Here is a 13,017-nt window from a genome sequence, read left to right on the forward strand (position 1 = left end):
GCGGGAGTAGTAATGCTGGCAATTCAGATATGCCAAAGAGATGCTGCAAAGCACTTCCTTGAAGTGAAAAGGTGAAAATGTTTGACTTAATAAGGAAAGAGAAAAACAACATATATATAGGGTTCACTACCATCTGTGGTTTCAGGCATCCACTGCAGTCATTTCTCATGATGACGTGGGGACTATTGTAATGTGGTTTTATTCACTGCTCTGCCAGGAATCACAGCCTCTTCTCATGCATTTGTGAGTTCTGCTGTGGAAGGCTGGATTCCCACTGTGACCCAGTTAGGGAGTAACACCAGAGTTCATCAGGGAACTACATGGCCTTTGCAGGGAGGAGACCAGGGCTAAAATGGAACAGAAACACTGCATAGTGGGTAGCGGGCCACAAGAATTATACACCTAAAGGGAAATATGCCAAATTTCCATAGTGATTATTGGAGAGATGTAATTACAAAGGATGTTTACTTTCTTCTTTATACTTTTTCTATATTCTCTAGCTTTCTTAAAACAAACATTCATTACTTTATCTAGTGCTGTTTTTATCTTAGATATTTTAATAGTTTTCTCTCTCCTACAAACCACTCATAGGATCTCCTCTGCAACCTTACAAATTGTACCACCACTCTCTTCTGCAGTCAAGTCCTCCACAGACCATCACATTCCCCTCACACACACACTTTTTCTTATGGGAAACAACTACCAAAAACAAACCTAAACTTTAGTGTTCAATTAAACTTTATACTTAAGCTCCAACAGAATATCTATACATAAAATAGTAACTAATTAGGAAGGGCAGAGGAGATGTATGTGGTCCGTACTCTAGGCAACAGAAATAACATGTGTTATTGTCTGCCTTTTCGGTTATAAGTATCATAGTGGGTGTGAAGAGGTATTCCATTGTAGTTTTGATTTATATCTCCCTAATGTCCAACAATGTTGAGCACATTTTCATGTGTTTATTGGCCATTTGTATATCTTCTTTTTGTGAGGTTTCTTTTCGATAGTTAGATGTTCCCCTATAGGAGAAAAGTGGGTAAGTGAGGGGAATGTGATGGTCTGCTGAGAACTTTACTGTGGTAAAAATCAATAGAAAAAAGAACGCATGTTCCTTCTTTACCATATAATTAGGAAATTCTATAGCCACTGGTGAAAATCTGATTTTGTGAAGGCTAATGATTATAAATCGGTGTGAAGTCATGCCTAGAAATTATAAGTAAAACTCTAAGACATTCCGTGATATGGAGAAATTCTACAGAAAATTAACTCTTTTTATTCCTCATCCTAGAGGTGCATTAGGTTACTAAAGTCCCAAAAGGACATCATCATAGATGCTCAGGCCCTGATATCTATTATGGGAAAATCTATAGTTGACACTAAGCAGCATGCAAAATGATTTCATGTGATAACTGTATTGATGTCTCCTTTGCACACATTAAGATTATTGTAGCTTTCCTCAAACACTGCCTTTTCCCTGGCTATATGTGTCAGAGTTAAGCCTTTCTCAAACTTACATATGACAACAGTCACAGCAGAAGTCTCCCAGCAGGTGATCCTATTATTTTCTCTTTATCCTTTACTGTAACTATATATTCAATTTTCTGTTCCCTAGAGTAGGGACCACACACATCTCCTCTGCCCTTCTAATTAGTTACTATTTTATGTATACATATTCTGTTGGAGCTCAAATATAAAGTTTAATTGAACACTAAAGTTTTATTCCTACAGGGCTTCTATGCTTCTAATTTCAAATAATTTCATTTTTCAATAAAGGCAAAAGTGTGTATATGTATCCATATCTATCTAATATATATAATTTATATTTCTTTGTGAAAGTTATGGTATAAATAAACTGCCAGGAACTCCTGTAATGAATCATGTGTCACGATTTGGATTCTGAAAATATGGTCATGTTACTTATCATAAATACTACTGGCAATAAAGCAAACAAACAAACAAAAAAGAACTTTTTTTGAATACTTATTTAATCAGGCCAGGGCTTACAGGGCTAATTAGTTTAATTCCTTTAATCCTTACAATGACTCTAAGAGACAGATACAATGAGGAGCCAAACTTGTCGCATGTTAAAGTTGGTAACTGGAGGAACAAGAATTTGAAATCTGGCTGATTTCAGATTCCTGGCTCCTAACATGGGCTTAGCATCCATCTTCTTTAGTCTCTTGTGACGGTCTTTGTATTAGTTCATGTGCTCCCTCCCTCTTCTCTGAAGATACCTTTTACTTGACAACTGCTGCAGCTAACATTTATAAAGAGCTCATTATGTGCCAGGCACAGAGCTGAGTTCCCTACATAAATTATCATTTCATATCCAGCTGTTCTTCACATGTTCGACAGCACAGAATACTTTCCTTGTGATCCAATTCTCTAGACATGTACAAGAAAAATGACTAAGCTGACAAGGATGGAGGGGCCTCAGGAGTGTGAGTAGGAAACATGGAGATGCTTTCTTACCTGTACAGCTGGCCACCCTCCTTGCCAGTACTCTGCTGTGTGTCTTCCTCATCATCAGTACTGTAAGATTTAGACCGTGATTTTGTAGTTTTCTGCCAGAAAAATCAAAACAAACTTAACAAACTCATTGTATCAAGTATATTTACAACATGCAGAGAATGAGCTGGGCTTTAAAATGCACATGTGCACAAACATAACTTGGAGGGAGAAAATGACCAAATATTGCAGCTTGCTTCAGCATTAATAACAAGCCTATCTAAGGCCATAATTATATTAAAATATTAATACAAAACTGAGAGTTTCATGCTCAGAAACTGACTTCGGAGACACATAAAGTTGATGTATCAGAAAGACTTTATTAGTCATGCATTTTGAAGGTTTCTACTAGGGGTAGAGTCAAAGTTGCAGTATCTATGTAAATGATTATAAGGGACAAAATGCCCTTTTGTATAGGAAGCTCACTATTAATAAACTGTAAAAGGCACATTTGGTTTTTTAAGAAAGGACATGTAGTAACTTTTAAAAAAATAAATAACTACCATTTCTGCTTTTGATCAGTATGCACTCAAATGATCATCTAAATCAAATTTCCCTTTTGAGATTTTGACCCATTTTCATTTCTAGCAGCAGGAAAAAAAATTGCTACCCACAGAATACAGGCTGAAAGGCTCCAGGTCTAATCTGGTGTCTTTTGGACAGATCAGCTGTTTCACAATAAAACTTTTTTGGGATGGTATGATTTCATCCCCACCAATTTGGAGATAGTCCCAGTATTTAGGCAACACAGACCTCAACAATACAAATGATGGGCCGGGCGTGGTGGCTCGCGCCTGTAATCCCAGCACTTTGGGGGGCTGAGGTGGGTGGATCACCTGAGGTCACAAGTTCAAGACCAGCCTGGCCAAAAAATGGTGAAACCTCATCTCTACTAAAAATACAAAAATTAGCTGGGCGTGGTGGCAGGTGCCTATAATCCCAGCTACTTGGGAGGTGGAGGCAGAAGAATCGCTTGAACCCAGGAGGTGGAGGTTGCAGCGAGCCGAGATCCCACCATTGTACTCCAGCCTGGACAACAAGAGCAAAACTCCATCTCTAAATAAATAAATAAACAATACAAATGATGGGGAAGGACCACCCCAATAATTGCCGAAAACCTTGCCATCGAAAATGCAGTGTCTACAAACAAAGGTAAGATGTTTAGACAGAGAACCCTGGACATCAGGAATGTGGCTTAGAAAGGGAAAGGGTCTCCATCCCCAAATTACCATAGGACCATGCCACCTTCTAGATTTTCTCATGCTTCTCCTAAACCCCCCCAAAAATCAAACAAGCTACACTGTTGGCATAAACACACTCAACTTCTCTCTATTTCAGTGACAGTAAGATGCCAGTTTGGTTTGGAAACTTCTCCGGCATTATTTATGCCTTGAGTACCTCAGCTTGCAGGTATGGAAGCCCTACCATTTGATGATCTCATGTTCCGTCTTTCACCAGGCTGGTAAACTGGCTAACCTCACTAGCTTCCTATTGGATCTTTAGAAAGAGTGTGGCAAGAACATCTATTTCAAAGGATTATTGTTGTGATGGTTAAATAAATGGCACAGAAAGTCATTCTGTAATCTATATAACATTACCTTTCCATTTAAAATACTGTCAATATTTATTAAAATAATCTATAAATAGTCTAATGGACAACAATTTATTCTTATAACTTGAGGTATGATAAATTTTAGTTAGGTGAAGTACTCCCTAAAACATCTACTTTGAAAGACTATTTTAATTGTAATGACAAGTTGCAATCCAGAAATGAAATATTCTCTAATTCCACATAGTTAGTAATTTGAGTTATACAGTAATAAATGTCTTTTTAAGAATCATTTTTACTATAAAATGCAAAAATTAGAAATAAGAAATGAATCACCAATGACAGATAACATTCAGAGAATGATATATTTTCTGGACATACAGTTTTGACACATCTTTTCATGGTTATCATACCATAGAATCTACTTCTCATCTTACTTTTTCATTTAATGTTTCACAGGTCGAGCTCTTCCGAGGGATCATCTTTTAATGGCTGCATCATTGTCCATTATGTGAATGATTCACGGATTACTTACACAGTCTTTGGAGGTGAACATTTTGGTTGTTTTCAATATTTTGTGATAATGACTAATCTGACTAGCCTACTAACAAATTATCTCACTGACGGGCAGGAAATTCTAAATATGACATTCCTTAAAGTAGAAGAAATGGCCTTACAGAAACCTCACGTATAATGTAAAGTTCTCCATCTAATAATTGAATTCTTATGTAAGTTTTACTGACAAACAGCTAATCTGTCCAGAAGACACCAGATTAGTGTAACATCTTTTTTCACTATTTTATTGAAGTGTAACATACAGTTGGGACAGTACACTGGTCATAAGTGTGCAGGTTGATGTCTTTCACAAATCAAAACCACACATACGACGAAATAGAATATTATCTGTCCCCCAAAAGCCTTCTGATCCTCCAATTCTGTCATTCCTTTCTCTGTGAAGGTAATAACTATTCTGATGTCTACTCTATAGGGTTTCTTTTGCCTGGTTTTGAATTTAATATTGATGGAATAAAACTGTATGTACTCTCTTGGGTCTGGTTTATTTTGCTCAACATCATGTTTATAAAGATCATATTATTGCATATAGTTGTAATTTTGTCATTTTCTTAGTTGTTAACTATTCTCTTATATGAATACACCACAATTTTTACTCATTCTATTATCAATGGACATTTGTACTTTTTCCTCTTTGTACTATTACCAATCTCAATATAAGTATTGTTACTTCTGTCTTTTTTTTTTTTTTCTGTAGATGGAGTTTCACTCTTGTTGCCCAGGCTGGAGTGCAGTGGTGCAATCTCGCCTCACTGCAACCTCTGCCTCCTGGGTTCAAGCAGTTCTCATGCCTTAGCCTCCTGAGTAGCTGGGATTACAGGCACACACCACCACACCTGGCTAATTTTTGTATTTTTAGTAGAGACAGTGTTTGGCCATGTTGGCCAGGCTGGTTTTGAACACCTGACCTCAGGTGATCCACCCACCAAGGCCTCCCAAAGTGCTGGGATTACAGGTGTGAGCCACCACGCCTGGCCTATTTCTGTCTTTTGACATATACCTAACAATAGAACTGCTAAGTCATAGTACATAGTGCAGCTTTAGCAGATACTGTGAAATAGTGGGCCAAAGTACTTGCACAAATGTGCACAACCATAAGTAGTGTTTGAGAATTCAACTGCTTCATCCTCACTAACATTTGGTTCTTGCCATCTTTTAATGTTACCTGTTGTGGCGGGCATATATGGAATCACATAGTCATTTTAAATTGTGTTTCCCAGATGACTGACGGGTGAATTCCTTTTCTTTATTAGCAATTTGGATATCTTCTTTTGTGAACTGCCTGTTTAAGTGTTTTGCCCATCTTTTAGAAATTAAGTTGCCTATCTTTTTATTGATTTATAGAAGCTATTTATATATTCAGGATAGAATATATAATACACATACCAGTTTTAATAACACATACCCATTATGTATTGGATATGTATATTTAAGATGTTAAATACAGTTTTTTGGATATATTATTGGATATATGTATTCAAAATATTCTTTCCCAGTATGCAACTTGCTTTTTGATACTGTTGATGCGTAGAAGTTCTTAACTTTTAAAGTAGTTTAAATATCAATCTTTTCCTTTGCTGACGTGCTGGTTAAGAAATCTTCAGTTATTCCAAGGTCATGATGATATTCTCCTGTTATCTTCCAGAATCTTTAAATTAACTGAAGTATGCATAGTTATTACTCTTAATTCATACCTTATGTTTTCCAAAGTTGGTCATGAGGGATCGTCCATGTGATTTCTTTCCACTTTCCTTTACATCTGGACTCTGAATAAATAAAGGCATAATATAACTATTTATCTTCTTTGCTTTTGTCTTTTTCCTTAGTTCTGGTGGAATAGCAAGGGGGCCCTCTTTTCTCTTCTGTTTGCCTCTAGGTGAGAAACAAGCAGACTCCACTCATTTCCTCCTGCTCCACACTCCACTACCACAAAGGTGGCTCTGCCTGCCTTGGAAAGGGAAATATTGGCATGGAGAGATGGATGCCAGCCAGGACGCAGCAGCTGCCTGCACCTTCCCAAAGCTGAGGTCAAGGGCTCTCAGCAGTGTGCAGGTGTGCTGGCCCTCATGGTGCCTGTTCACCAGGCTCTCCACAGCACAGGATGTGTTCTTTTAAATGTTCTGAGTGGGGTTAAGTCATTTTCAGTTAAGTAGGGATTCAGTTTTGGAAAATGACCAAAAGTCATTAGCAGCCAATTCTATTGAATAAAGAAAGTGGATCACATTGACTAAACAGTGCTATGTGGGATTTTAAAACATTATAAATAAATAAAATCCAAGGATATCTATGAGATAATAGATTGTTTTTGTTTAAAGTAAACCAAGCAAAGTTTATGTGTTCGTTGAAATAATTCCCTCTGTGATGAGCACTGGAAAGAGGTATTGTAGCCTCTGAATTTTTCCTCACATAGGTTAATTTTCCAGTTAGAGATACTGGGCCAACTCTCTTTCCTGGAGCCTATGTCTCATTAGGTAACAGAAAGTCCACCTGCTAAGAGAGTTTAAACTCTTATTCATTTGTCATCCTTAAAAATATGTTAGGTGGTTCATTACTAATAACATGGTATAAGGAGAGACCAGTAGGCCCTACCTGACCAAGACTCCAGCTAAACAGAGAAGAAGCAGGTAACCACATAAATGGAATAAATGTGGGTGAGAAAAAACAGTTAAAGCCAAAAGGTTGGGAAGGGGATCTGTATATGCCCATAGATGCTAATCAAAGATGCAAGTAGGGGTAGGAAGAGATTGGGTGGAGTCCAAGAACTGGTTGGGGAAAGAGCAGTTCAAAAAATGCTGGAGGAGTAATGGTGAGGGGTTTACAAGGTGATTGATGTTAGGTAACTGTTAACTGATTCATACATGTTTATTGCTTTTGGAGATCTATTAATGCGGATCATTAACTGTTCAAAAACTGTGGAATTAAGAAGGCAGCTGGATGTGATCATAGACATAGCACTGCTCTCCAAGTCAGAAGACCCAGTTCTGCCAACAAGTAGCTACATTTCCTTTAGCAAGCCTCTTCTCTTGGTCCGCTTTTTTTTTTTTTTTAATCTGTGAAATGGACCAATTAATCTGTGAGTTCCTCTCTATTTCTAGTAGGGACTATGCCATTTATTATCCAAAACAGGACCTTTTAAGAATAAAATGGGATACTTTTAATAATTATGCTGGGACAACAGGTATAAAGCACGGCTGTCACAGGCAAATTGAGGTATATGGTCACCCTATTTAGTAGGAACCTATTATACCCTAAGGATAATGCTAATTGCATTACATATATTCTCATTTACTATGCATAACCAACCCTGGGAATAAGTATAATTAAATTCCAATTTTACAGAAAAGGAAAGCAGAAATACAGAAAGTTAGATTATATGCCCAAAGTTACAAAGCTTGTTGGTGATAAAACAGGATTCTGTCTAGCTACAAGTCCTCTCTCTGGCTTCCTTCCACTTCTCCAACATTTTCTATCCCATTCTCACTCTCTTTTTTTTTTTTTTTTTTTATTATACTTTAAGTTTTAGGGTACATGTGCACATTGTGCAGGTTAGTTACATATGTATACATGTGCCATGCTGGTGCGCTGCACCCACTAACGTGTCAACTAGCATTAAGTATATCTCCCAATGTTATCCCTCCCCCCTCCCCCCACCCCACCACAGTCCCCAGAGTGTGATATTCCCCTTCCTGTGTCCATGTGATCTCATTGTTCAATTCCCACCTATGAGTGAGAATATGCGGTGTTTGGTTTTTTGTTCTTGCGATAGTTTACTGAGAATGATGGTTTCCAATTTCATCCATGTCCCTACAAAGGACATGAACTCGTCATTTTTTATGGCTGCATAGTATTCCATGGTGTATATGTGCCACATTTTCTTAATCCAGTCTATCATTGTTGGATATTTGGGTTGGTTCCAAGTCTTTGCTATTGTGAATAGTGCCGCAATAAACATACGTGTGCATGTGTCTTTATAGCAGCATGATTTATAGTCCTTTGGGTATATACCCAGTAATGGGATGGCTGGGTCAAATGGTATTTCTAGTTCTAGATCCCTGAGGAATCGCCACACTGACTTCCACAATGGTTGAACTAGTTTACAGTCCCACCAACAGTGTAAAAGTGTTCCTATTTCTCCACATCCTCTCCAGCACCTGTTGTTTCCTGACTTTTTAATGATTGCCATTCTAACTGGTGTGAGATGATATCTCATAGTGGTTTTGATTTGCATTTCTCTGATGGCCAGTGATGATGAGCATTTTTTCATGTGTTTTTTGGCTGCATAAATGTCTTCTTTTGAGAAGTGTCTGTTCATGTCCTTTGCCCACTTTTTGATGGGGTTGTTTGTTTTTTTCTTGTAAATTTGTTTGAGTTCATTGTAGATTCTGGATATTAGCCCTTTGTCAGATGAGTAGGTTGCGAAAATTTTCTCCCATGTTGTAGGTTGCCTGTTCACTCTGATGGTAGTTTCTTTTGCTGTGCAGAAGCTCTTTAGTTTAATTAGATCCCATTTGTCAATTTTGGCTTTTGTTGCCATTGCTTTTGGTGTTTTGGACATGAAGTCCTTGCCCACGCCTATGTCCTGAATGGTAATGCCTAGGTTTTCTTCTAGGGTTTTTATGGTTTTAGGTCTAACGTTTAAATCTTTAATCCATCTTGAATTGATTTTTGTATAAGGTGTAAGGAAGGGATCCAGTTTCAGCTTTCTACATATGGCTAGCCAGTTTTCCCAGCACCATTTATTAAATAGGGAATCCTTTCCCCATTGCTTGTTTTTCTCAGGTTTGTCAAAGATCAGATAGTTGTAGATATGTGGCATTATTTCTGAGGGCTCTGTTCTGTTCCATTGATCTATATCTCTGTTTTGGTACCAGTACCATGCTGTTTTGGTTACTGTAGCCTTGTAGTATAGTTTGAAGTCAGGTAGTGTGATGCCTCCAGCTTTGTTCTTTTGGCTTAGGATTGACTTGGCGATGCGGGCTCTTTTTTGGTTCCATATGAACTTTAAAGTAGTTTTTTCCAATTCTGTGAAGAAAGTCATTGGTAGCTTGATGGGGATGGCATTGAATCTGTAAATTACCTTGGGCAGTATGGCCATTTTCACGATATTGATTCTTCCTACCCATGAGCATGGAATGTTCTTCCATTTGTTTGTGTCCTCTTTTATTTCCTTGAGCAGTGGTTTGTAGTTCTCCTTGAAGAGGTCCTTCACATCCCTTGTAAGTTGGATTCCTAGGTATTTTATTCTCTTTGAAGCAATTGTGAATGGGAGTTCACTCATGATTTGGCTCTCTGTTTGTCTGTTGTTGGTGTATAAGAATGCTTGTGATTTTTGTACATTGATTTTGTATCCTGAGACTTTGCTGAAGTTGCTTATCAGCTTAAGGAGATTTTGGGCTGAGATGATGGGGTTTTCTAGATAAACAATCATGTCGTCTGCAAACAGGGACAATTTGACTTCCTCTTTTCCTAATTGAATACCCTTTATTTCCTTCTCCTGCCTGATTGCCCTGGCCAGAACTTCCAACACTATGTTGAATAGGAGCGGTGAGAGAGGGCATCCCTGTCTTGTGCCAGTTTTCAAAGGGAATGCTTCCAGTTTTTGCCCATTCAGTATGATATTGGCTGTGGGTTTGTCATAGATAGCTCTTATTATTTTGAAATACGTCCCATCAATACCTAATTTATTGAGAGTTTTTAGCATGAAGCTTGTTGAATTTTGTCAAAGGCTTTTTCTGCATCTATTGAGATAATCATGTGGTTTTTGTCTTTGGCTCTGTTTATATGCTGGATTACATTTATTGATTTGCGTATATTGAACCAGCCTTGCATCCCAGGGATGAAGCCCACTTGATCATGATGGATAAGCTTTTTGATGTGCTGCTGGATTCGGTTTGCCAGTATTTTATTGAGGATTTTTGCATCAATGTTCATCAAGGATATTGGTCTAAAATTCTCTTTTTTGGTTGTGTCTCTGCCCGGCTTTGGTATCAGAATGATGCTGGCCTCATAAAATGAGTTAGGGAGGATTCCCTCTTTTTCTATTGATTGGAATAGTTTCAGAAGGAATGGTACCAGTTCCTCCTTGTACCTCTGGTAGAATTCGGCTGTGAATCCATCTGGTCCTGGACTCTTTTTGGTTGGTAAACTATTGATTATTGCCACAATTTCAGAGCCTCTTATTGGTCTATTCAGAGATTCAACTTCTTCCTGTTTTAGTCTTGGGAGAGTGTATGTGTCGAGGAATGTATCCATTTCTTCTAGATTTTCTAGTTTATTTGCGTAGAGGTGTTTGTAGTATTCTCTTATGGTAGTTTGCATTTCTGTGCGATCAGTGGTGATATCCCCTTTATCATTTTTTATTGTGTCTATTTGATTCTTCTCTCTTTTTTTCTTTATTAGTCTTGCTAGCGGTCTATCAATTTTGTTGATCCTTTCAAAAAACCAGCTCCTGGATTCTTTGATTTTTTGAAGGGTTTTTTGTGTCTCTATTTCCTTCAGTTCTGCTCTGATTTTAGTTATTTCTTGCCTTCTGCTAGCTTTTGAATGTGTTTGCTCTTGCTTTTCTAGTTCTTTTAATTGTGATGTTAGGGTGTCAATTTTGGATCTTTCCTGCTTTCTCTTGTGGGCATTTAGTGCTATAAATTTCCCTCTACACACTGCTTTGAATGCGTCCCAGAGATTCTGGTATGTGGTGTCTTTGTTCTCGTTGGTTTCAAAGAACATCTTTATTTCTGCCTTCATTTCGTTATGTACCCAGTAGTCATTCAGGAGCAGGTTGTTCAGTTTCCATGTAGTTGAGCGGCTTTGAGTGAGATTCTTAATCCTGAGTTCTAGTTTGATTGCACTGTGGTCTGAGAGATAGTTTGTTATAATTTCTGTTCTTTTACATTTGCTGAGGAGAGCTTTACTTCCAACTATGTGGTCAATTTTGGAATAGGTGTGGTGTGGTGCTGAAAAAAATGTATATTCTGTTGATTTGGGGTGGAGAGTTCTGTAGATGTCTATTAGGTCTGCTTGGTGCAGAGCTGAGTTCAATTCCTGGGTATCCTTGTTGACTTTCTGTCTCGTTGATCTGTCTAATGTTGACAGTGGGGTGTTAAAGTCTCCCATTATTAATGTGTGGGAGTCTAAGTCTCTTTGTAGGTCACTCAGGACTTGCTTTATGAATCTGGGTGCTCCTGTATTGGGTGCATAAATATTTAGGATAGTTAGCTCCTCTTGTTGAATTGATCCCTTTAGCATTATGTAATGGCCTTCTTTGTCTCTTTTGATCTTTGTTGGTTTAAAGTCTGTTTTATCAGAGACTAGAATTGCAACCCCTGCCTTTTTTTGTTTTCCATTGGCTTGGTGGATCTTCCTCCATCCTTTTATTTTGAGCCTATGTGTGTCTCTGCACGTGAGATGGGTTTCCTGAATACAGCACACTGATGGGTCTTGACTGTTTATCCAACTTGCCAGTCTGTGTCTTTTAATTGCAGAATTTAGTCCATTTATATTTAAAGTTAATATTGTTATGTGTGAATTTGATCCTGTCATTATGATGTTAGCTGGTGATTTTGCTCATTAGTTGATGCAGTTTCTTCCTAGTCTCGATGGTCTTTACATTTTGGCATGATTTTGCAGCGGCTGGTACCGGTTGTTCCTTTCCATGTTTAGCGCTTCCTTCAGGAGCTCTTTTAGGGCAGGCCTGGTGGTGACAAAATCTCTCAGCATTTGCTTGTCTATAAAGTATTTTATTTCTCCTTCACTTATGAAGCTTAGTTTGGCTGGATATGAAATTCTGGGTTGAAAATTCTTTTCTTTAAGAATGTTGAATATTGGCCCCCACTCTCTTCTGGCTTGTAGGGTTTCTGCCGAGAGATCCGCTGTTAGTCTGATGGGCTTTCGTTTGAGGGTAACCCGACCTTTCCCTCTGGCTGCCCTTAACATTTTTTCCTTCATTTCAACTTTGGTGAATCTGACAATTATGTGTCTTGGAGTTGCTCTTCTCGAGGAGTATCTTTGTGGCGTTCTCTGTATTTCCTGAATCTGAACATTGGCCTGCCTTGCTAGATTGGGGAAGTTCTCCTGGATAATATCCTGCAGAGTGTTTTCCAACTTGGTTCCATTCTCCACATCACTTTCAGGTACACCAATCATACGTAGATTTGGTCTTTTCACATAGTCCCATATTTCTTGGAGGCTTTGCTCATTTCTTTTTATTCTTTTTTCTCTAAACTTCCCTTCTCGCTTCATTTCATTCATTTCATCTTCCATTGCTGATACCCTTTCTTCCAGTTGATCGCATCGGCTCCTGAGGCTTCTGCATTCTTCACGTAGTTCTCGAGCCTTGCTTTTCAGCTCCATCAGCTCCTTTAAGCACTTCTCTGTATTGGTTATTCTAGTTA

General features: G+C 38.2%; 1 protein-coding gene across 20 annotated transcripts in view; it reads right to left on the minus strand.

Annotated features, from left to right (window-relative positions):
• Positions 1–13,017, minus strand: part of PLCH1 (phospholipase C eta 1) — a 294,138-nt gene that overhangs the window by 47,297 nt on the left and 233,824 nt on the right. For 16 of the 20 annotated variants that reach the window (XM_017005927.2, NM_001349251.2, NM_014996.4 and 13 more), the window contains 2 exons: positions 6,325–6,396; positions 2,473–2,564 (listed from right to left, as the gene is read on the minus strand). In XM_017005927.2, coding sequence (XP_016861416.1) covers positions 2,473–2,564; positions 6,325–6,396 — 164 coding nt within the window. The remainder of the gene's footprint in view (positions 1–2,472; positions 2,565–6,324; positions 6,397–13,017) is intronic. The other 4 variants (XM_047447747.1, XM_047447746.1, XM_047447745.1 and 1 more) reach the window with 1 other exon arrangement.

The sequence above is a fragment of the Homo sapiens genome, chromosome 3 (genome assembly GCF_000001405.40).
Source record: "Homo sapiens chromosome 3, GRCh38.p14 Primary Assembly".
Taxonomy (NCBI): Eukaryota; Metazoa; Chordata; class Mammalia; order Primates; family Hominidae; genus Homo; species Homo sapiens.